The sequence below is a fragment of the Homo sapiens genome, chromosome 19 (assembly GCF_000001405.40).
Source record: "Homo sapiens chromosome 19, GRCh38.p14 Primary Assembly".
Taxonomy (NCBI): Eukaryota; Metazoa; Chordata; class Mammalia; order Primates; family Hominidae; genus Homo; species Homo sapiens.
The window spans coordinates 29,987,277-30,013,320 of NC_000019.10; the positions used below are offsets into that span (position 1 = coordinate 29,987,277).

Genomic DNA, 26,044 nt, shown 5'->3' on the forward strand with positions numbered 1-26,044 from the left:
ACAGCTGAGTTTTCTAAAGCTGAACTTGATTTCACTTATACATGAATGAGTACTAGAGAACTCATTTACTCAGTGAAATTCTGGGAACTATATTTGGAGACTCTAATTGCAAATCAACTCCTATAAGTTTATAATTGATATATATTTTGATCTTTTGTGACACTAATCAGAATCTTATTGTTAGGCCTGTATGTAATTTCTGGCAATGATAAATCTTTTGGCTTTGCTGCATTATTTTTGTCATGTATATTAGCGAAAGAGAATGGGCATACTTTTTTCTTAAAGACCTTACTGAAGACGAAGCCTCTCTTTATATACTGAAGTAGCTCTGATGTTATGAAATGAATCCATAGCCTGTTGAAGTTTGTTCACATTGATTTTCATATTTCAGTGAAAAAAATCTTTATAATTAGTTATAACTTAAAATATTAATGGGAATACTTATACTACAATAGAATAGAGCTCTAGAGTAGAGAAACATGTTTTTGTAAATCACTTTCTAGTAGTTAAATATGGTTTTGGAAAGTGACCAAACATAGATGACTTTTGGGATCAATATTTATCTAAAATAATTTTCAAAGTACATATTTCCTGTTACAATAAATTCTGGGCCGGGCGCAGGGGCTCATGCCTGTAATCCCAGCACTTTGGGAGGACAAGGCAGGTGGATCACCTGAGGTCAGGAGTCCGAGACCAGCCCGACCAACGTGGTAAAACCTCGTCTCTACTAAAAATACAAAAATTAGCCGGGCGTGGTGGTGTGTGCCTGTAGTCCCAGCTACTTGGGAGGCTGAGACAGGAGAATCACTTGAACCCAGGAGGTGGAGGTTGCAGTGAGCTGAGATTGTGCCACTGCACTCCAGCCTGGGCAACAAAGCGAAATTTTGTCTCAAAAAAAAAAAAAAAATTACGTAAAGCTCTTTTATTCACATGGTTTTATAATTTATACCTGAAGAAAATACTTAGGTATATTGTTGTACTTCACATTTATTAAGAAAAGGTACTTTATTTTTCTTAAGGCAGAGGAAATATAACCAGTTAAACACATAGTCATCTATGTCATGGTTGATTGGGGTAATTGGGGAAGGTCTGAGTTACAACACGGGTCATGATTTGTTTAGCCAGCACCACAGTCAGGACACGGAATAGGATACAAGATACTGCTCTCAGGACTCAGCTCCTATCAAAACCTCCCTCACACTGCCCCTTGGTGGTCACACCCTACGGCTGCCTACTGCTGAAGGATTGACGACTTCACGTCTGTGTCTTTTGAGATTAGCTTCTTCACTTGCTGTAACGCCTCATCCAGGTGGTTCTGTGTATTCAAAGTTCATTTCTTTTATTGCTGAGGAGTGTTCCGTTACATGCATATCTATTAAATGCACGTACAGCAGTTTTTCCATTCACCTTTTGAGGGACATTTGGGTGCTTCCATTTTTTGGCGGTTAGGAACAGAGCTGCTGTAAGCCTTTGTGTACAGGTTTTTGTGCGAACATACATTTTTATTGCTGTTGGTAAATACCTACAAGTGAGATTGTTAGATCATATGATAAATGTATGTTCAATTTTTAAGAGACTACCAAGCTGTTTTCCAAAGTGGCTGTATGATTTACATCTCTTTCAGCAGTGTGTGATAGTGGTATCTTTGCGTCTCTACCAGCCCTCAATATTGTCAGTTTAAGAAGTGTAGCCATTTGAATAGGTGTATAGTGATTTTAGTTTGCATCATTGCCTAATGATGTTGAGCATTGATTCATGCACTTATTTTATCTTTGTGTCCTCTTTTACCTGTTGAACTCTTTTGCCCATTTTAAAATATTGGGTTATATATGCTTTTTTTTTTTTATTTTTTGAGATGGAGTCTCACTCTGTCGCCTAGGCTGGAGTGCAGTGGGGCGATCTTGGCTCACTGCAACCTTAGCCTCCGAGGTTCGAGCAATTCTCCTGCCTCAGCCTCCTGAGTAGCTGGGATTACAGACATGCGCCACCATGCCCGGCTAATTTTTTTGTACTTTTAGTAGAGATGGGGTTTCACCATGTTGGTCAGGCTGGTCTTGAACTCCTGACCTCAGGTGATCCACCCGCCTCAGCCTCTGAAAGTGCTGCGATTACAGGCGTGTGCCATTGCACCTGGCCTGGGTTATATATTTTCTTTCTTTTTTTTTGAGATGGAGTCTCACTCTGTCGCCCAGGCTGGAGTGCAGTGGCGCGATGTCAGTTCATCGCAACCTCCGCCTCCCGGGTTCAAGTGATTCTCCTGCTCAGCCTCCTGAGTAGCTGAGATTACAGGTGCGTACCACCACGCCCGGCTAATTTTTGTATTTTTAGTAGAGACAGGGTTTCACCATGTTGGTCAGGCTGGTCTTGAACTCCTGACCTCATGATCTGTCCGCCTTGTGGTCCACCCACCTTGGCCTCCCAAAGTGCTGAGATTACAGGTATGAGCCACCGCACCCCGCTGCATTGTATATTTTCTTACTGTCGTTTTGAGAGTTTTTTTTTTTTTAATATATTCTGGATTTATGTTAAATAGGTGATGTGCAAATATTTTCTCCCACTTTGCATCTTGTCTTTTCATTCTCTTAACAGTGTCTTTCCAGAGCAAGTTTTTAATTATGAAGTTCAGCTTTTAGCTTTTTTTAATGGATCATATGTGTGGTGTCATATCTAAGAACGCTTTACCTAACCTTAGTTGTTGAAGATTTTCTTCTGTGTTTTCTTCTGAAAGTTTTATACTTTGATATTTTACAATTAGATCTGTGATTGATTTTAAGTTAATTTTTGTTTGAGGTGTGGGGTTTAGGTCACGGTTCATTTTTCTTGCATATGGATGTCCAGTTGCTCCAATACTATGTTGAAAATACTGTTCTGTCTCCATTGAAATGACTTTGCACCTTTGTCAAAATGAATTGGCAACAAGACCATCTTAGATACCACACTAGGATGGTTATAATAAAAAAGACAGTAACACTTGTTGGTGAGGATGTGAAAAAATTGGAACCCTCATTCATTGCTGGTGGGACTGTAAACTGGGGAAGCCACTTTGGAGAACAGTTTGGAATTTTTCAGCAAGTTAAACATTGTGTTTTACTGTGATCTAGCAGTTCCACACCTAGATAGTATTCTACCCAAGGGAAATAAAAATGTATGTCCACAAATACTTGTACATGAATATTAAGAGCAGCACTGCTTATAGTAGCCGAAACATGGAAACAACCTAAATGTCTATCAACTAATAACAGGTGAATAAGTGTCGTACATCCATGCAGTGGAATGTTGTTTGGCAATAAAAAGATGTGTACCTTGAAAACATTAGAATAAATTAAAGAAACCAGTCACAAAAGACCATATATTGTATGATTCCATTTACATGAAATATTCAGAAAAGGTAAATTTATAAAAGAAAGGAGAGTAGTGGCTGCTTAGGGCCAGGAAGGTGTGAGAGAGAATGGAGAGTGACTGCTAAAGAGTATGGAGATTTTTAGGGGCAATGAAAATACAAAAATACAGATTTTGGTAATGGTTGCACAACCCTTTGAATATACGAAAACCATCAAATTGTACATTTTAAATGGGTGAATTGTATGTTATGTGAATTATAACTTAAATTGTTAAAAAACAAATGAATGAGCCATTTTGTGTAATTGTGTTTTTGGACCATCTGTTCTGTTTCTTTATCTATGTGTCTGTCTCTTTGCTGATGCCACTCTGTTTTGATTACTGTAGCATTATAGTGTTCCTTACAGTGTTCCTTAAAGTTGGTAGTACGGGTGCTCTAAGTTTATTCTTTCCAAATTGTTTTGGCTGTTCTACCTCCTTTGCCTTTCCATATACATTTTAGAAACCACTCGCTTATGTTTACAAAAACTCCTAGTGGGATTTTGATTGGAATCGCACTAAATCAACACATTAATTTGGGGAGAATTGACCTCTTAACTATTAAATCTTCCAGTGTGTAAATACTTACAGCCTGTAAATACAGTGTATCTCTGTATTTAGGACTTCTTTAATCAGTTTTGTAGTTTTTGAGCATACAGGTCATATGCGTTTTGTTAGGTTTATATCTAAGTGTTTCACCTTTTGTGGAGCTGTTGTAAATGATGGCATTTTAAAATCTTGTTTTTCAAGTGTTCTAGTATATAGAAATAACTCTTTTTAAAAAAGAATTAACATTGTATCCTCCATTCATGCTGACCACATTTGTTCTCTGAACTTTTTTGGGGTAGATTCCATGGGATTTTCTATGTAGACAATCATGCCTTTTGTAAATAGCTCCTATTTTTTTTTATTCCTTTCCAAGGTGTATACACTTCATTTCTTTTTCTTGCCTTACTTCCTTGGCTAGGACTTGCAGTATAATATTGAATAGGAGTGGTAAGAGTAGGTAGGTGTCTTTGTCTTGAAACTGATCTTCTGGGGAAAAATTTGGCATTTTATTGTTAAGTGTGTGTTAGCTGTAGGTTTTTTAAAAAAATTAATACTCCCTATAAGTTTAGGGAACTTTCTACCTGGTTCTAATTTGCGGATTTTTTAAATGAAAATATGTTGAATTTTGTCCAGTGTATTTTCTGCATCTATTGATATGATCTTGTAGTTTTTCTTCTGTATCTGTTAATGTGGTGGATTATATTGATTGATTTTTCTTCCCTGGATGAACCGCATTTGATCATGGTGTATTCTTTCATGTATTACTGGATTTGATACATTGAGCTTTTTTTGTTTAATATTTGCATGGCGTATATTTTTCCATTTCTTTTACTTTTATGCTAACTATATCATATTTAAAGTGGGTTTCTTTTTTTTGTTCTTTTGAGACAGAGTCTTGCTCTATTGCCCAGGCTGGAGTGCAGTGGCCTGATCTTGACTCACTGCAACCTCCACCTCCCAAGTTCAAGTGGTTCTCCCGCCTCAGCCTCCCGAGTAGTGGGGATTACAGGCGAGTGCCACCATGCCCAGCTAATCTTTGTATTTTTTATAGAGATGGGGTTTCACCATGTTGGCTAGGCTGATCTCGAACCCTTGACCTCAAGTGATCTGCCTACCTTGGCCTCCCAAAGTGCTAGGTTTACAGGCGTGAGCCACTGTGCCTGGCCTAAAGTGAGTTTCTTATAGGCAGCATGGATCTTTCCTTTTTAATTGATTCTGATAATTTCAGTCTTTTAATTGATGTACTTAGACCATTTACATTTAATGTAATATGTTTGGATTCAGGTTTGGCATTCCCCCGTTTTTGTTCCTCTTGTTACCCTTTCTTGTCCTCTTTTAGATTATTTAATATTTTTAGTATCTTATTACTCTGTTGTTGCTGAAATAGGAACTTCTTAAAGTATTTTTAATGTTACAAATTAGGGATTAATGTATTTCACGTGAACTTAAAAGTTTTACTCTAAATACTTGCTTTGAGATTTGCTGAATTCTTTTTTACGTTAGAGAGCAATTTTTGGCTTAGAAAGGAGTACATCTTCAATGAGACTAAGTGAAAAGACCAGGATTTAATCAGAGGTTTCTACAGTATAGACAAGTTTTTGGTAATTTTGTTTCTGCATGTCTCTGTAATCTACTTTTGAACACCGGTATATAGAATGACTTGAAATTCTAGTATCTAGGCACCATGTCTTAGAATTTTTGGCTGTGACAACAGGCATTTGGCCACATTTCTAGTCATTAGTCCAGTGATTAATGTTAAACAGTTTTACTTATAGGATGATCTTAATAGATTTTCCTTTCAAAGATAATATGGGGAGAATTATTTTACCGTGTGTCTTTTGTTCAGAATTGTATCTGACACATTTATTTTATCTTATTTTTACTTTTGTCTTAAAAATGCATACTTAGTCTTCATTTTTACAATAAAGTTATTTTTATTAAATGGAAGAGTGGACATGAAGGGATAAGAGCATGAACTAGGGGTAATGGCTATAGGCTTAGAGAAGAGATCAGAAGCAGGAAGAATTTCTGAGCCTGATAGGACTTGGCAACTGATTGAATGTGAAGGTTGAGGGGAAGCATTGGATGAGTGGTGACCTAGAGGCAATGTTGTTGACATAATCAAGTAAGTTTGTAGATCACTGCACACTACTTTCCCTCTACCAGAGAGTAAAATGCACATAGGCACGTTACTTAGAAGCCCTGTAATGAAAAATATCCCTTTAGTCTTGTTTAATGTTGTGGTTCCCAAACTTACTTGATTTTGAGAAACTTTTAAAATGTAATGTCTGTTATCTTACAGAGCATTCTAAAGAAAATCTTGATTTAGGAATACATTTTTAGGCAGATTTCAGAAGAAAGTGGGTGATAAGACGTTAGCACCGAATACAGCTTTTTTTTTTAAGTGATAGGAGAAGAAAGATTGTATGAGGTGCATCAGGTCATTCACAAGATGGGCTTTTTTAAAAATTATTTTTTTAGTAGGTTATATATGGACATGATACAAAATCTAAAGGATATTTATTAAAAAACAACTATGCTTCCTTTTCTTGTTCTTTAACATCCAGTTTACCTCCCTGGAGGCATCGCTGTTATCAGTATCTTACTCATTATTCCAGGGATATTCTGTGCATTTACAGCCATAGACTTATGCATTCCTACCCCACCCTATACACCTCCACTCAAATTGTAGGCACACTTTTATTTTTTTGTTTTGGCAGCTTGCTGTCTTATTCTTTTCATGGCTATATAGTATTATATTGTACTCTATTTAGCCAGTCCTTTACTGATAGGCCTTTAGATCGTCTTCCTTTTTTTTTGCTGTTAAAATCAATGCTGCAGTGAATAACCTCTGTGTGTATGTGTGTGTGTGTGTGTGTGTATCATTTGTACTTGTGTGTATCTGTAGTATAAATGACTTAAGATACAATTGCTGGCATGAAGTGAAGTAGATTTTTAACTTTGACAGTGCTGGCTTTAACAGACTGACTACACCTTTGCCAACCCAATGTGTTTGCAAACTTGTTTTGAAACTGATACCTTATTGTAGGCCCCCTGGCACTGCTAACTAGCTAACTTACTGTCTTTTCCTCCTTTTCCTCCCCTCCCCTCCCTTCCCTTCCCCTCATTCACATGGTTGGTCAGCTATAACCACCATCCATCTCCAGATATTTTTCATCTTCTCAAATTAAAACTGTACCAGTTAGGTGATAACTCCCCATTTTTTCCTTCCTCCCCCCATCCCCTGGTAACCACTATTCTACTTTCCATATGAATTTGGCTATTCTAGATACCTTACATAAGTGGAATCCTACAGCATTTGTCCTTTTGTGTCTGGATTATTTCACATAGCATAATGTTTTCTAGGTTCATCTGTGTTGTAGCACGTGTCAGAATTTCCTTTTTTTTAAGGATGAACAATATTTTATTTTGTGAATAATGTGAATTATTCTGTTCGCTATTGTGAATAGTGCTGCTATGAATATAGGTATACAAATATTTATTTAGTTCCCTGCTTTAAATTATTTGGGGTGTATATCTGAAAGTGGAATTGCTGGATCATATGGAAATTCTGTGGATTTTTTTTTTTTTTTTTGAGGCAGGGTCTCACTCTGTTGCCCAGGCTGGGAGTGCAGTGGTGCAATCTTGGCTCACTGCAGCCTCCGCCTCCCAGGTTCAAGAGCCTTCCTGCCTCAGCCTCCTGAGTAGCTGGGACTACAGGTGTGCACCACCATGCCCGACTAATTTTTTGTATTTTTAGTAGAGACAGGGTTTCACCATGTTGGCCAGGCTGATCTTGAACTCCTGACCTCAGGTGATGCATCTGCCTCAGTCTCCCAAAGTGCTGGGATTACAGGTGTGAGCCACCACGCCCGGCCCTATGTTGTATTTTTTAAGGAACCTCCATTCTGTCTTTCACAGCAGCTGTACCATTTTATATTCTCAACACCAAAATACAAGGAATCCAGTTTTCCCACATTCTTGTCAACACTTGTTACTATATTTTTTATATATAAAATAAATATATTTTGAAGTGGCATATCATCAAGGAATATAGTTTGAAGTGGATTTGAAGTGAAGTATCAGCAGGGTTTTGATTTGTATTTCTTCAGTGATTAATTATGTTGAGCATCTTTTCATGTGTTTATTGGCCACATGTATATCATCTTTGGAGAAATGTCTATTCAAGTCTTTTGCCCATTTTTTATTTGGGTTGTTTGTTTTTCTTGTTCAGTTGTAGTTCTTTATATATTCTGGATATTAGTCCCTTATCAGAAGTGTAATTTGCAAATATTTTCTCCTGGTCTGTTGGTTGCCCTTTTACTTTCTTCTTTTATTTTGTCTTACTTAAAAAAAAAAATAGCTGCCAGGTAGAGTGCCCTTTTACTTTCTTGATAATGTTGTTTGATGCACAAAAATTTTTAATTTTCACTGTCCAGTTAGTGTTTTTTTGTTTTTGCCTATGCTTTTCATGTCATATCTAAGAAATTGTTGCCAAATGTCATGAAGCAGCTTCCCTGTGTTTTTTTTTTTGAGTTTCCTAGATTTAGCTTTCATTTAGGTTGCTGTATCCATTTTATATATGCTTGTAAGGTAAGGGTCCAACTTTATTCTTTTGCATGTGGTTCCAGTTTTCTCAACACGATTTGCTGAAAACACTGTCCTTACCTTTTTGAATGGTTTTTACACTCTTGTCAAAAATCATTTGGTCATACATTTATGAGGTCTTATGTCTGAGCTTTGTATTCTATTTTTTGGTCCGTAAGTCTGTATTTATGTTGGTACCACATTATTTTGATGAGGGTAGCTTTATAGTAAGTTTTGAAAACAGAAAGATGAGACTTACAACTTAGTTTTTCTTTTTAAATATTGTTTTGGTTATTGGGGAACCCTTGAGACTCCATGTGAATTTTAGAATGGGCTTTTCTGTTTTTGCAAAAAAAAAATTACTGGATTTTACTGGGAGTTGCACTGAGTCTGTTGGTTGCCATGGGTAGTATTGACATCCTAATTATTAAATATATTCACTCCGTGAACATAGGATATCTATTTATTTGTGTCTTATTTGTTTTAGCAACACTTTATAGTTTTTAGTGTGCAAGTCTTGCACCTTCTTAAGAGTTTAGTCCTTTTGGTTCTAGTTTAAATGAATTGCTTACAAATTTCCTTTTTAGATTGCTCATTGTTAGTGCATAGAAATGCAGTTGATTTTTGTGTGTTGATTTTGCATCCTGCAACTTTGCTGAATTTTTTTTATTAGCTTTACAAGGGTGTTTTGTGTGTGTGTGTGTGTGTGTATTCTTTAGGGTTTTCTGCATATTACATATAAGATTGTATCATATGTTGGTAGTAGAGAGAACTTGACTTCTTTCCAATTTGGAGGCTTTTTATTTGTTTTTCTTGCTTAATTGCTCTAGCTAGAACTTCTAGTATGTTGTTGAATAGACATGTTCATAGTGAGCATCCTTGTCTTATTCCCAATCTTAGGGGAGAGACTCGCAGTCTTTCATCATAGAGTGTGATGTCAGTGTGGGGTTTTCATATATGGCCTTTATTATGTTATGGAAGTTCCCTTCTGTTTCTAATTTATTGAGTTTTTTTTTTTAATCATGAAAGGTTGTTGGATTTTGTCAAAGGCTTTTTTGGATTCAATCGAGATTACCATGTTTTTTCCTCTTCATTCTGCTAATGTAGTATATTACATTGATTTTTATATGTTGAACCCATCCTTGCATTCCAGGGTGTGGCAGAGATCATTCTTGGTCATGATGTATCATTCTTTTAATGTGCTACCGTATTTAGTTTGCCAGCATTTTGTTGAGGATTTTTATATGTATATTCATAAGAGAAATTAGCCTGTAGTTTTCATATTTTTATCTGGCTGGCTCACAGAATGTGTTCCCTCCCTTTTCATTGTTTAGAAGAGTTTGAGAGGATTGGTGTTAATTCTTTGAATGTTTGGTAGAATTCATCTGTGAAAGCATCTCTTCTTGGTCCTTTCTTTGTTGGGAGGTTTTTGATTACTGATTCAATATGCTACTTGTTACAAGTCTATTCAGATTTCAGTTTTGGTAGTTTGTGTTTTTCTAGGAATTTGTCTATTTTATCTAAATTATCAAACTTGTTGGCAGTCAGTTGTTTGTACTATTTCTGTATAATCCCATTAATTTCTGTAATAGTTTTTATTGTTCCACTTTTGTTTGTGATTTTAGTGATTTGAATCTTCTCTTTTTTTCTTAGACAGTCTAATAAAGATTTGTCAATTTTGTTGATCTTGTAAAAAACCAACTTTTGGTTGCATTAATTTTTCAGCATTTTATAAAAATTCTGTTTTGTTTATCATTCTCTAATCTTTGTTATTCCTTTCTTCTGTTAGCTTTGGGTTCAGTTTACTCTTTCTTTTTTTTCCAGTTTCTTAAAGTGTACAGTGAAGTTACTGATTTGAAGTATTTCTTTTTTTTTGATGTAGGTATTTACAGCTATAAATATCTTTCTTAGCATTGCTTTGCTGCATCCCATAAATTTTCGTTGAGTTTTCATTTTTGTTGGTCTCAGGGTATTTTCTCTTTTCTTTTGAGACAGAGTCTCACTCACTCTGTTGCCCTGGCTGGAGTGCAGTGGTGCAATATCGGCTCACTGTAACTTCCATCTCCCGCGTTGAAGGGATTCTTCTGCCTCAGCCTCCCTAGTAGTTGGGACTACAGGTGAGGGCTACCATGCCTGGCTAATTTTTGTATTTTTAGTAGAGTCGGGGTTTCACCATGTTGTCCAGGCTAGTCTTGAATTCCTGGCCTCAAGCAATCTGCCTGCCTCGGCCTCCTAAAGTGCTGGGAGCCACTGTGCCCAGCCATATTTTTTAATTATGCCTATGATTTCTTCTTTGACCCATTGACAGATTATTTTGTAAAATTTTCATATATTTATGACTTTTTCCAATTTTCCTTCTATTAATGATTTTTAATGTTATTGAGCATTCCAGTTAGAAAAGATACTTTATATGATTTCAATCTTGTTAAATTTTTCGAGACTTATTTTGTGGCCTCTCATATGACCTATCCTGGTGACTGTTCCATGTTTCCCTTAGAAGGTGTGTATTTTTCCTGTTGTTGGGTGGAGGTTTCTATATATGTCTATTAGGTCTAATTGGTCTTTAGTGGTGTTCATGTTCTTTATTTCCTTCTGGCTGTTCTGTCCTTTATTGAAAAGGGGATATTCATGTCTCCTCCAGCTATTATGGTGAAATAATTTCTCCCTTCTGTTCTGTACATTTTTGCTTTGTACATTTGAGCTCTGTTAGGTATGTATGTATTTATAATTGTTGTATCTTGATAGATTGAACCTTTTATCAGTGTGAAATATCCTTTGTCTCTTGTGACTTTTTTAATTTAAAGTCTATTTTGTCTGATACTACTATAGCTACTTCATTTCTTTTTTGGTTACTATTGGTATGGAATATCTTTTTCATTCCTTCACTTTCAACCTATTTGTGCCCTTAGATCTACAAGTGAGTCTCTTATAGACAGTATATAGTTGGATCCTTTTTTTAAAACAATTGATTCTGCCAATTTATGCTTTTTGATTGGGAAGTTTAATCTGTTTACATGTATAGTAATTACTGATGGGGGAAAGACTTTCGCTGTTTTGTTATTTTCTGCATGTTTTATAGCTTTTTTTTGACTCATTTCTATATTACTGCCTTCCTTTGTGTTTGATTTTTTTTTATGGTGAATGGTTTTGATCTCCTTTTCACTTCTTTTTAAAATATAGGTATTTTCTTTGTGGTTACCATGGCGATTACATAGAACATCCTAAGGTTATAAAATGTATTTTGAATTTATACCAACTTAACTTCAATCACATACAGAGGCTTTATTCCTGTTCAGCTCCTTCACCTCTTTATATTATTTGTGTCACAAATTATATCTTTATATATTGTGTCTCCATTAATATAGATGTCCAGTGATGTGTATTCATTTTTCTTTATCACATAGAAAAGAAAAAAGTGGAGTTACAAACCAAAATGACAGTAATACTTATTTTTGCCTATGTGTTTACCTTTATCAGAGATCTGTGTTTTCATATAGCTTTGAGTTACTGTCTTTTCATTTCTACCCGAAGAACTTCCTTTAGCATTTCTTGGATTGCAGGTCTAGTGGTGAGGAATGCCCTCAACTCTTGTTTATCTGGGAATATCTTAAATTTCCCCTCATTTTTAAAAGACTGTTGTTTTGCTAAACATAGAATTCTTGGATGAAGTATTTTGTTTCTCTCTCAGCACTTTTTAAATATATGTCATCCCATAACCTTCTGTGCTTCAGGGTTTCTGCTGAGAAATCTGATAATCTTGTTGAAGATTTCTTGTTTGTGATGAGTGGTTTTTCTCTTGATGCTTTCAAGATTCTCTCTTTGTTGTTGTTCAACAGTTTGATTATAGTGTGTCTTGGTGTGGGTCTGGGTTTATCCTACTTGGATTTCGTTGAGCTTCTTGGATTTGTAGATTCGTACCTTATCAAGCAATGTGTATGCTCTTGAGTATCTCCAATAAGGCATTTCAAAATACAAATTTATGATTTTAGTTTATGATAGATGTATATAGCTTTAAATAACCACAAACCATCTTAAGACGTTATTTAAAAAAAAGAGCAGCATTCACTTATCCCTTTTGGCTCACAGTTCCCATTCCTCAGATGTAATTACTTTCTGTTTTTGGCTATTTTTACTCTGCTCTTTTTATTCATATTTTCCAGTGGTTGGCATATCCTGTTTTTGTTTACTTCTTTTTTTTTTAATTTTATGTATTATTAACTACCTGTCTATAATTTAAGAGGACCATGTAGCATTTTTACATGTCCTCCCTGTCTCTGCTTCTCTAATCTTTTTGCTATTGTTGTATCACAATTTTTGTTGAATCAGTATTCATGCTTAGATATTATGTAATTCCATTTTGTTCTTGTACAGGCTTTTAGTTGAATTTAACTGCTTTTTTTGTTGCATAGTTTTCTATGTGTCTGTCATTAATTCAGTCAGATACTTTTTTTGTTGTTAAAAATTTTACTGCTGGAGTCTTTCATTGTCTTGCTTCAATTTGGACTGGCTTCTCTCCTGATCAAAGGAGAGCCGTCTTCCTGGTGTCTTCTTACCCTGTTTTTGCCTTTTATTTATTTCCTGTTTTCTGTTTCCCAAAGCACCCTTTTTTCAGGTTCTATTTAGTTTGTTGGAATATTGCTTTAAGTAACTTTTGGGAACCTGCTCGGAGGTACTTCTTTGAATTTTTATGTATCTGAATAACTCTTATATTCCTTATACTCCTGCTTCTTATTGTTAAGTAGACTGTTTAGAATTCTAGGTCTTAAGTAACTGTTGCCCTCAGAATTTTGGATACATTATTCTGTTACCTCCTGTCTTTAAGTGTTGCTATTGAAAATCTTGATGCTATTTTCGTTTTCTTTGTATATAACTTGTTTTTTTGTTTTTAAAGCTTTGAGATTCCTTTTTGGTCCTTATTCCCCATGATCTGGAATACAACAGTGGTACACCTTGAAGCCGTGCTATGGATCCTTTAAAATTTGTTTGCTAGTGCTTAGTAGGCCTTTTTTGAGTGGAGGCTTAAGTCCTCCAGCCGTGGGAAATTTATATTAGTAATTTGAAAATTTCCTTTTCTTGTTGCCTATTTGTTTGTCCTTGTTGTAATTTTTGAAGTGATTTCTTCTGCATACTCTTTTAAATCATGTATTGACTTTAAAATTTTCCTGTACATAGTTTCATTTCTGGAAGCACTTTTTTTTTGTTCTTTGGCTGTTTCTTTGTTACAGCATCCTGTTCTTGTTTCATGGATGGAGGGTCTTTTTTTAAGGAGTATTTGTTTTTTCTTTTAAAGTTTTCATCTTTAAACATTTCCTCCATGTTTCTTTTTTCTTCTCCCTCTTTTCTCTCTTGCTCTCTTTTTTTGGTCTCTAGCATTAATGTTCAAGAATTTCTTCAAATGTCTGGTGATCCTTGGCTAACCATTTATACTTGCGTTGAGTACTGTCAGGAAGCTCTGTGTGCATAGGCAAGGTTTGTTGACTGATAGGTATTTTTTGTAGGGATTTAAGGTAGCAAGCTGATTTATTTATTTTTTTTAAATTGAGCAATCTTTAAGTATCAGCAGATTCTACAAAAGAGTCTTCTGATCTTCTTCATCTAGTGTTCTGAGAACCAGGCTGGGCGTTTCAAGGTTCAGTATGTTCACTTGGAATTAATCCTCCTGGTTTCACTAAGACATTTTCTATTCTCTTTCCACTTCCCTATTCCCTACCATCTCTACAAACCACTCTAAGCTGTGAATCTTTTGTTTAAGCAAGAAAGGAGAAACCTTTCTTGTGAGATTAGGGTTTGGGGACCTGTTCTTTTCAAACTTTTATCTAGATCTTTGGTTAAAGTTCACTCTTCTTTTGGAAATACTCTCAAGTGAATTGCCTTTTCCAGGTCCGATATCCCAGATCGACTTGTAGTAGCTTTTCCCAGCCACAGTTAGGTTCCATTTTTTTCTGTTGTGCAAAGTCCATTATCAGTTGTGCAGTTTCCAAAATTTGGTTGACATTTCTTGTCTATTTTCTCTTCAAATGTATTTGTCTTTATGGGTTTATGCCTTTAAAAATTTCTTAGTTGTTACTTTACCTAAGGTATAGGGGAAAGGCAAATACTAAGTACATGTATTCAATGTGCTATTTTAAAGCAGAAGTCCAAACCTTTGTACTGGTTTAAGAAGGAGTACATCCTGTCCAGAGGTTTGTGAGTATTTCCACCAGGGGGCACGTCCTGTTGAAGCTGTCGAAAGAATATTTAAAAATTCCAGCACACAAAAGAAACGAGGTTGAGAATAGAGTGGTCACAAAGGATTCAGTAGAGAATTGCATATTTACAGGCTTCATACTATTCAGTACATATGAATATATGGCTAAGTAAAAAAGACTCCTTTCACGAATGATGTTCATAACTTTTATTAGTGTTTTGCAAATAATTTTTATTACATCTGCATTTCTGTTCCTTTCAAATATATACAATTCTACAAACTGTTAACTAAATGTTTCTAAATATTTGGTCTTACTTAGTGAGTAGGCATATCGTTTATCTTTAGGTGAAAATGACTGCTTAAGTTCTTATGAGGTTTTAAATTTTCTTTTTTGGTTTAAACATGTCTTTGGAATTTGCACTGTTAATTTGCTTTAAGTCTCCTTTTTCATAGCTAACTCAAAGGATTTCAGCCAGTTCTGGACAAAGATTCTGAATTAGTGAAGACTTTAAAATATTAGCTTATGCTTGCTGCACATTTAACCTGCAGCCTGGTTTTGTCAGCTAAATAAATAAAAACTATACCTCATTCTATACTTCTGAAATCCTAGAAAATTTAACTTCTGATTTTTAGTTAAAATAACCTGTGTTTGAAAACAATCTTCTGTCCTTCAAATTACTAATTTTTTTCTTCAATTTTAGTTTTTATTTTTTGGGGTGGGGGGAAGTATCTGTGGAGAACTGTCTTTTGTACATTTTCACAGCTATTTCTTTGATCCCATTGAATTTGTTTTCTTTTTTCTATAATAATTGGTAACTAAAATGTTTGAGATTAAAATGAATACAGATATTGTCTATATCACAAAGTATATTTCTTTTTCTCTCAGTAGTGTTATTTGCTATAATTTCAGTGTGGTTTGAAATTTTGCTTAATTAGATTTCAACTTAGCCATGTTTGGAGCGTTAAAATTGATTGAGTCTGTTTAAATGATCCATTTTTAGTGACATGTATATTTCACCTCTTAAAATAAATTTTTGGAGAATAGAGTACAAAAGCTTTAGTGAAAAATGTAATAGCATGGTTTCTAATGTTAAATCTCAGAGTTATAGAAAGAAATGGAATTAAATTCTCATTCTGCTTTTTTAACTGTTGTTCTTTTGAAACAACCTGTAGATACGAATTTAGACTTGTTATTTACTTTGTACAAAATCGAAATAGGTGCTTACCATTCTGCTGTATTTTATGTTATTGTGAGCACCAGGTTCGTTTGCCTTGCGGTTGCCCAGCTTTCTTTTGTCTTGTCTTAAATTTTCTGTATAGCTATCTAATTTTTTGTTGCTCTAGGACATAGGACTTATGATAATTTAATAGAGATATATATCTGCATATATAATGTGTATGTGACGGTGTTGGTGCTTATCAGTTTGTGGTATTTCTGAGATTCTGATATAAAGTATATGCTTTTGAGATCTGATTTCTTAACCTTGTGATAGTGGTTTATATTAATGTATGATTCAGAAAGCTTTCTTGAATTTAAAAATGGAACTGTGCAATCGTATTTCAGTTTTTCATAATTACCCTATTTCCAAAACACTTTGTTTCTTAAATGGAATATTCACACAACTTTTTCTTACATGCGTGAGTTATGATGAATTTTTTTTAAAGTCAACAATAGTTGATTGAAAGTAACTCCTATAACATCAGTGAACAATCAATTCTTTACACATTGACAACCCAAGGCTTTCACTGATACCTTTAGCTTAGTTGCACAGTATTTATATGTGGATAGACTTTTAAAAATGTACTTAGCTTACCTACCTGCCATTTTTAATATTTTCCAGTCTTCTTGAAAAAAGTTATTGATTTGACCTCCTACCTAAAATAATGTTCTTTAGATCTAAAGCTGGTTAGACACATTATCTGACTGAGTTTACTGAAGCAAAAACATTCCATAACCTTAACCTTTTCCCTGACCCCCTGCTTTTAACAACTGCCGACATAGTTTTATGCTGTTATGTGACCATGCTCGGATGAAATCTGTCAAACAGCTCCTTGAGTTATTAGGCTGTCTGAGTCTGACCTTTCTGCAATCAAAGATATATGACTTAAGGGCTCAGATTTGCCATGGCAACCGGTCCAATTTGCTGCCGTGAGAAAAGGTCTAATTGTTGCAGAAATTTAATGATCTAGAGCGACATCAGGGCTGTGAGATTTTATGAACTGTTTACACCGTAATTTTCATTTTGTTAATGCAGTCTTTTTTTTGTAACCCATTCATGGCTAGAGCATAAGTGATTGTGTTTTATTTAAAATAGCATTGCATAGCATGAGAGCCGTATCGGAGAACATGTGCCACTCTCGAGAAGCCCTTCATATGTGGTGATATTTCACTTTTAACTCCCTTCCTTATTTTCATTCTTTTAAAAGATATTTTAACTGCTTAGACCTTTGCCAGACCTGCATTCATCATTGGTAGAGAAAGAACTATGTACTTTTCTCCTCCATCCTCTTCTGATCTGCTTACTGATTGAGTGCCTGTTGTAAAACAGTAGGAAATCACAGAGCATCTGGGGGAGGAGGTATCATATCACTGTCTATTATTCTTTATCAGCGCTTGGCCATAAAAATTCTGTATTTGGAGAAAAGTAGGATATTGTTCAGCATATAATTATAGTTAGAAACCCCATGTATTTTTTAGATGGTGCCATTTACTGCTTAGCAGAGATTTCTACTCTGATTACAGAAACATGAATTACTTGTTGCATTTGTCCAGTATTGGGTAGAGAAATGTTTGTGTCTATTCTCAAATTAAAATTTTTCCTCAAATAGGTTAATAGAGGGTGGTATTTAGGAGATGTTGAAAGGCTGTGTGTTGTGTTGTTATGCAGTTTAACTTGGAAATGGTTGATTATATACCGTAAAAAATGTGTTGTATTTTCAGTCATCTAATTTAGGAATATTTTCTGTTCAGGAACAGAATAACTTGTCTTAATCTATGTTATCTATGCATTATCCAGCTGGACAAAAATTACCTGTGCAACAAAACTGTTATGAAATACTGCATTTTATGTGATGATCCAACTAGATATTTATCCTATAGAAACCTGGTAGCACCAGGCAGCATCTACAATCTAGTTCTGTACTCTGTAATAGAGAGAAAATATGTTAGACATTTTATTACGAACAAAGTAATGTGCTATATATATAGCACAAAAATACACAGTATAACTTATTAAAAGTCCATTTAAAAGGAAAATAGTGTAAGATTTTTGAAAAGCATTACTGTTAAATCATACTTGTAGTGTGATAGGACTACAGTTAAAATATTCCTACAGGTCGTATATATGCCATGCTTTACATAATGGTTGTGTTCATTGTTTCAGATGTAAGAAAAACAATAGATGACTTAAAAAAAGTGATGAAAAATTTTGAATCCAGAGTTGAATTCACAGAAGATTTGCAGAAAATGAGCGATGTGAGTATTTGTTTTTAGTCTTCTATATTTTTAGAAAATATTTTCAAAGAAATATGAAGCTATCTTACAGCCAAGGAACAAATTAATTGAAGTTTAAAATGCTTTCAGACATCTTAGGTTGAATAGTTGCTCTTTGGATAATTTTAGTATGCTGGAGATTTGTGTTGTTAATACGCTTTTTTTTTGTTTAAAAACCAGGCTGCAGGTGATATTGTTGACATACGAGAAGAAATTAAATGTGACTTCGAATTTAAAGGTAAGCAGTAAGATTGTTTTATGTGTAGCTGTTTAGATATTTTGATTTTTGTTGATTTTCAGTGGGCTTTCTGTGAGATATTTGGGATTTAGAATACACTTTTAAATTCATAGGATGCCAACATTTTTCTACTCATTGATTTTTTTTTATGTGAAACATTAATGGATAAATAACTTTTGGTTAAAAATGTGATTCCTGACTGGTCTGTTTTAGTGGTGGGATTACATGGCTTTTTTCTCCCAAAGTTCTCCAGTGCTCCAAACCTCTAAAACTCAGAAGATGTATATTCTAGACATGGATCTGCTCCTAATTTGTTCTCTGACCATGGTGAAGTCCTAAGATATCTTTTGCTAGTTTTTCTTCTTTTAAAACTGCAGCTTTGTAAGCTGTTTTTGGAAGAATGAATGAATGTGGGTGTATTTCAGCCATTCCTCTTATGGTGCCTGCAGTGGCTTTCCCTGCGCAGGTTGTTCCCATCTCCACCCAGTAGATTTCTTTTGCCAAGGCTGGCTTATGTGTTTGGGTTTACTTCTGTAAAGCCAATGGTTCCTTCGTCAGTTGTAAAGTGTTAACGGTAGTGAAATTGTAAAAAGTATTACAGATGGCTTATTATTTGCTACTGTAGAAGACTGTACAGTGTCTTAAACAAATGTACTGAGCATTCGTTTTGACTTTCAGCACTCATATTTTGGTGATGAACTCTTAAGATAACTTACTGGTTGAAAGAAGCCACATCACAAGTAACAGGAAGTGGCTTTAGAAGGTGAAATAAAGGATATGTATATTAAAGTTGAACAGAAAGACAAGATTTTTGTTTGTGGTGACCAGTGACAAATTATGAGCGCTACAGGTCTGAAATAAAAATTGTTAACTACTGTCTTATCAATAATAGTTACAGAGAATAAGGCTGTGAAACATAATTTGATATTTTCAGATGTATGCAACAATGCAGCAAATTTGAATATATGATGGACTCGAGGTCATCTGGTAGTGCCATATCTCATAACAGGACGCATCTTAGACTTCTTCCCATTACTTTCCCATTACTTTGCTTTAATAAAGCAAATAAAGCCTTAATTTGCTTTATTAAAAAATAATCTATTTTTTAAAATGAAAAGCAGATACCTCTGAGTTCAGATTTGACCCATCTTTTTTCCTCACATGAAGATTACAAATGAAGCAGTTTAAAAAGTAGAGATGTTCATATGTAAAATGATAATAGAACTTTACAGAGATGAGCCGCCGTTGTTTCCTTGTAGGGTACTCATTCCTTGGCAGTGCCCTGGAGTTTAAAGTATCCTGTCACAAGGCTTTTGCACGTTACTGTAGTAACTAGATTTCCTTGAGTAAGGATGGTAAATGGAAATTTATCATTTATGTGTTGCATTTCGCCTTATAACCAGGGTGCATTGTGGCCATTTCTTATGCATTTTTGAAGCTCTTCTCACAACCTTGAATGTGTATGCAGGTTCTCTGGGGCTCTTGTTGAAATACAGATTCTGATTCAGTGGGTCTAGGGTGTCCTTAGAGCTTACACTTCTGAAGTGTTCCCCAAGGACGCCAGTGCTGTTGATCCATGGACCACACTTTGAGTAGCAAGGCTGTAAGAGACATTCATCCTTGGAGTTCTGTTTGGCTTAAAAATTGTGACCCCTCTGTTTCAATATTTCCCTTGCCCCAAAAGAAAGTCTCATTAAGTCTGGGTTTGTGCCTTTTTTATGTTGGCTATTAACAGCCACGTCTTTTCCTTTTTCTAAATAGCAAAACACCGAATTGCTCATAAACCGCATTCCAAACCAAAAACTTCAGATATTTTTGAAGCAGATATTGCAAATGATGTGAAATCCAAGGATTTGCTAGCTGATAAAGAACTGTGGGCTCGACTTGAAGAACTAGAGAGACAGGAAGAATTGCTGGGTGAACTTGATAGGTACTTGATGACAAATTATCTTTCCAAGATAATTTGTTTCTATACACATTTCCTCATTAATCTTTTTCTTCATTAATAAAATAATATGTGTTCATTGAAGAAAATGCAGGGAAGCATAATATATTATCAATAATCCTTTCACCTCAAGATGAACATTAATTCTCTGGAATATTTTCTTATAGGATTGTGTGTTTGTGCATATTCCCATGCATGTACATGTACTTAAATACTTAAGATCAACATCTTCATTTTTTATTATGGCCTATTTTATATAATTAATTATACCAGATAGTTGACTTTTAATAATCATGGATTTAATATATATAATGTTAAATTTTAAATGAAGTATTTTTATGCCACACCCAGGATAGTGCTCTATCTTTGAATGTGTTGTGAAAAACAAAAATACACTTTGAATTTAAATTTGATACAGTAAAATGTTTATTCTTGCTTTCCTTTTATAAACTTTGGAGCAGGTAATTTGTAATCTGGTCAGATAGCTATATGTATGAGAAACTTTACGAAATTGCTGTTTGAAATACACATTAGCACACACTTAGAATTGTTAAAATGCTAAATGAAATCTGCTACTCGAGAAGTTCTATATTATTTTGCTTAAATGATGTACCATATGCAATAATTAGTTTCTGTGAAAAATAGGGCAGGAAGCATAAAAGTTTCTTTTTCCTAGTGTTTCACCTATAAATTCTTAGGTCTTTTTGATTAACTAATACTATTCATTTTTTAAAACCAGTTTTGGATCTTGTGATTTTTCTTGGTCATGATTCTCTTTCTATTTTTTGTATGATGTTATTTCAGTTCTGTTGCATTTTCAATTTTGTTATTTTTGTAAGGTCCTCACATCTTTTATAGAATCAAGTATGATAAATGTTCACTCATGCATATAGATATATTCGTGTGCATATGTATAAATCCTTTATTTTTAAAAATTACAATAATACATGCTCATTGTAAAATATTCTGAGTATAGGAGTAGAAAATAAGTGTGTATTATGTGGTTTCAATTTCTGGTCTTTAGAGATAAATGTTCTCTGAATTTCTTACAACTTTATTATTATTGATACTATATTTATATTGCATATGGCCAATATCTTTCTTGCAAAGATAAAAAAATTATCTTCTATATTCTACTTATGTCTGAATAACCTCAATATATAGAAGCAGCATAGGAACTGTTTTTTGTTAATTTATTTCAAAACATTTTTTTGTTTTTGAACTTAGAATTCTAGTTTTAAAAATACTTTATTCAAGATCTTAGTATTTACCCATGGAAACTAACTGGAAATTTAAATAATGTAAAATTCTAGTATGTTTGTTTGATCTTGTTAATTTTCTTCCTTGCTAGTAAGCCTGATACTGTGATTGCAAATGGAGAAGATACGACATCTTCTGAAGAGGAAAAGGAAGATCGTAACACAAATGTGAATGCGATGCATCAAGTAACAGACTCTCATACTCCTTGTCATAAGGATGTTGCAAGTTCAGAACCATTCAGTGGTCAAGTGAATAGTCAGTTGAACTGTTCAGTGAATGGTTCCAGTTCTTACCACAGTGATGATGATGATGATGATGATGATGACGACGACGACGACAACATTGACGACGATGATGGTGATAACGACCATGAGGCTTTAGGGGTTGGAGATAATTCTATACCAACAATATATTTTTCACATACTGTTGAGCCTAAGAGGGTTTGTATACTTTTAACTTTACTAATTTTGCATATAATTTGAACATTAAGCATTATGATATTTTTTAGAAGAGCAATATTAACAATCATTATCATTGTGGATAGTGCCAGACAGGAAAATCATCTTTTGCCTCTTGTTCTGACCAATTTAAGAAGAAAAAGGGAAAAAAAATTTAGTTAGCTGGTATTGGTCCATTGTTCTCTGAAACAATGCATTGTTTGGGGTCTGGAAGGGGATCAGATTTGAGTGGCAACTACTGTAACTTCACCTGTCCTTCATTCAGAGAGTTTTCTTAAGAATCCTGGAGTTAATTATATTGTGGACATTTTGGTGTGCTTAGGATGTTGAAAGTGACTGCATTAGTTAAATTTTTAATTATGCCAGGTTGTTTTCTATGGACATAAAATGAATACTTCATAGGCACAAAGGGAAAATGTAGGAGGAAGTAAAAATTAGTTTCTTTTCTGACAAAGTAAATATAAACATCTGTGGATAATCATGACTTAGAATTTTGGCATTTTAGAGCTGGGGGTGACTGGAGATTTTCTAATACAGAGTTTTAAAGCTTTTCTCTAGTATGAAAAGCCTTTTGTTCCCTCCATACTTACTGTAGAATCCCAGTATTTAAAATAGATCAAAGCAGCTTGGCTCTGATTGAAGGAAGGATAGGCTGCCTTAAGTCCATCTTTGCCCTCTCTCTGCTCCATGTACTGCTCTAAGGGGACACTGGGAATTCGTCTAATTCGTCTTTCTCAGGGAAATTTAAGGCCTAGAAGACATAGATCTGGTTGGTAACAAAACAGGAACTCTTTCGCCTCTGAGTGCCCTTTCTACACAATATCCCGATTGCCTGTATCAGTTAAGGGTCTGTGGTATCATTCTTAAGTGTGTGTGATTATTATTTAGTGAAATATGTTTAAAACATATTTGATATTTCTTAGCTTCCTAAAGTTATTCCTGCTCCTATATGAAGTGAAATAATTGTTTGTGTTTTTATATTCTAATATGTCAGACTGAAGGGGTCTTCCCCTGATTCTTCGGGAAAAGTTGACTGAGATGATTAGCCAGAAAAAAAGGTCGCTTTTTAATCTTTTGCCAGGCTTTTACTTTTTTCCTGTTTTCATTTAGATAAAACAGAAAGAACAAATATTATTTGCAGGAACGTTACAGGTAATAGTGGTCATTATTGTGGAAAGTATGCTCTAAGTGCTGACTAGGGATAGAAAAATAACATGTTAACCCCATGTGAACCCTGAACAGGCTTGGTTTTTATTTTTTTACTCCTTCAATTTCTAAAAATTAGAGATGTTTTAAAAATTCTAAATAGGCATTATTTAATAGTACTTTTATGACTTAAAGGTTGTATTCTTACTGAATTTTTGTTTATACTCTTTCTTTTGAAATACATAATTCAAGCCAAACACTTATATCAAAGGAATGGGGTGATGGGAAGTTTATAAGAAATCTAGCATTTAGTTCAAATGTATTTTGCTTTCTCTACAATAATAAAGACACTGAAGACTAGGATTTGTTAATAAAGAAGATTTTCTTTAGATGTCATAGATCTATGAGATAAGGACTTTTTAAAAAATTCCATCTGATAATGCACATCATTTCAGCATCAGAAAATTTCAGCTGCCTCTCTTACTATTATTTTTTTAGTTATAGAGTTTATTTGTTTTGGTTTCACTTTGATTTAATTTGTCAAAAGATTCTTAATTTCTTGCTCTGAAATTTTAGGTCCGAATAAATACTGGAAAGAATACCACTTTAAAATTCAGTGAAAAGAAAGAAGAAGCCAAACGTAAACGAAAGAACAGCACTGGCAGTGGCCACTCTGCCCAGGAGCTGCCGACCATCAGGACGCCTGCAGACATTTACAGGTGGGAGGCGCTCACAGCTGCAGGGCAGTCTGCTGGGCTTGCCTCTCTTTCTGCCACTGAACCTTTACTGGAGAAAGTTGACTGTAACACAGAAGACCCTCACTGAAAAGTGAAGTGTTCTGAGGAGTTAACTTAGGATCTGATAGGCTGACCGGCTGTAGCTTCCCAGTCCAGAGCAGTGGGAATGGAGGATTTTTTTTTTTTTTCACTTTCTCCTCTTCACCAGTGCTTTTGAAACATTTCCAAATGGTCTAGTCAGAAAATCTTGTATCTTCAGAAAGCATTTTTGTTTCCAGTGGGCTAGGTCCCTACGTTTCTACCACAGCCGTAACATGCTTGGCATGCAGTTTACCTTTTCAGAGTAGAAATTATACTGTTGCAGGTTTTTTTTTTTTTTCCTTTTTTTTGGAATTGTTTGTTGAGAAAACTATCACTTGAAAATACCTACTGTTTTTATGACCCTTATTTATAAATCAGTGAAAATTGCTAAATGTATACGTGGGTCTAAAACTTTATGTAGAATTTTGGCAAACCATGCTATTGCCACCTAGGACATGCTTAAAAATAACATGCTGTGTTTTTGTTCTCACTCATAGGTGGGAATTGAACAATGAGAACACTTGGACACAGGGTGGGGAACACCACACACCGGGGTCTGTCATGGGGTGGGGGGAGGGGGGAAGGATAGCATTAGGAGATACACCTAATGTAAATGATGAGTTAATGGGTGCAGCACACCAACATGGCACATGTATACATATGTAACAAACCTGCACGTTGTGCACATGTACCCTAGAACTTAAAGTATAATAAAATAAATAAATAACATGCTGTGTTTTATTATTAGGCCAGAGAAATAGCTTTCAAAATAGTATGAAGATACCATTTGAGGCTATAAAATTATTGTGATTGTGACTATTTTAGATATAAGATTGTAATAAAAATTTTCAGATTAATTTCTAGAATAGATTCAAGGAAATTTTCAAAAAGTTGTTCTCAGTTTTATGAGTTACGTATAGTGAATGCATATGTGTTTTGAATATCACAGAGCCTTTGTTGATGTTGTGAATGGAGAATATGTCCCTCGCAAATCCATCCTGAAGTCTCGAAGTAGAGAGAATAGTGTGTGTAGCGACACTAGTGAAAGCAGTGCTGCTGAATTTGATGATAGGCGGGGAGTTTTGAGGAGTATCAGCTGCGAAGAAGCCACTTGCAGTGACACCAGTGAGAGCATTTTGGAAGAGGAACCACAAGAAAATCAAAAGAAACTTTTGCCCTTATCAGTAACACCTGAGGTGTGTGTGTGTATCTTTTAATTCTTTATTTCATATAGTATCTTTGACCAGTTTTAGCTATTTAATCTGAAAAGTCATAAGATTAAATTAATTCTAGGTTTTATACTTTCTTGGTACTAATTAATAAAAAATTAATAGTCACAAACAGTACAAATATTGTGATAATCAAATAGTTTATTTTTTGATAAACACATTACTTGTCTTAACGTTCTATTTCAGCAAAATGGGAAATTTAAAATGTCTTACTTGGCATTATGTATTACATTTGTAGCTAGGAAATTATTTCGCAGTTTATTTTAAATAAATTACCAGTAGGTCATTTTCTGATAGTGTAAGGAGCAGATTACATTATTCTCTTTTAAATACCTTGGCTAAGTTAAAGAAAAATAATGCATGCATAGCAGATAATTACCTAAAGTCTAATATTTTACCTTGTACCAGTGAAACTTAACTCTTGGGGGATTATGGAATTGTTTTATAATCTGATGAAAGCTGTAGACCCTGTCCATAGAAAAAATAGTGCACACTCAATACACTTTCACCCACCACACTTCTTACAGTTTTTGGTGGTGGTGCAGGGGAGGTTAGGAAATCCCCAAATAAGGATGTCTGTGAAATATAAGGCTATTGATTTCTTCATTCTTGTGTTTTGGTGCGTATTTGAAGTTTTCAATTTAAAAAGTATTTAGGAAGATTGGGGAACCCATGCCTGGATCAAACCAGTGTACACATTTGTATATACAATAAGATACATGCATATATATAACCTTATCTAAAAATTCCATTGCT

The 26,044-nt window shown here is 34.6% G+C and overlaps 1 protein-coding gene across 8 annotated transcripts in view, besides 1 other annotated feature; it reads left to right on the forward strand.

The window, feature by feature from the left end:
• URI1 (URI1 prefoldin like chaperone) overlaps positions 1-26,044 on the forward strand; it is a 92,956-nt gene that overhangs the window by 63,620 nt on the left and 3,292 nt on the right. For all 8 annotated transcript variants that reach the window (NR_045557.1, XM_005259362.3, NM_001252641.2 and 5 more), the window contains 6 exons: positions 18,085-18,176; positions 18,375-18,432; positions 20,194-20,362; positions 21,729-22,077; positions 23,818-23,960; positions 25,009-25,255. Coding sequence is in view for 7 of the 8 variants with exons in the window: in XM_005259362.3 (XP_005259419.1) it covers positions 18,085-18,176; positions 18,375-18,432; positions 20,194-20,362; positions 21,729-22,077; positions 23,818-23,960; positions 25,009-25,255 (1,058 nt within the window). In the remaining variant the exon portion in view is untranslated. The remainder of the gene's footprint in view (positions 1-18,084; positions 18,177-18,374; positions 18,433-20,193; positions 20,363-21,728; positions 22,078-23,817; positions 23,961-25,008; positions 25,256-26,044) is intronic.
• Positions 16,431-17,320: an enhancer, noted in NCBI's record as "VISTA enhancer hs381". NCBI's record gives its function as "enhancer in: eye[5/6]" and the evidence as "EXISTENCE:transgenic organism evidence [ECO:0001131][PMID:17130149]".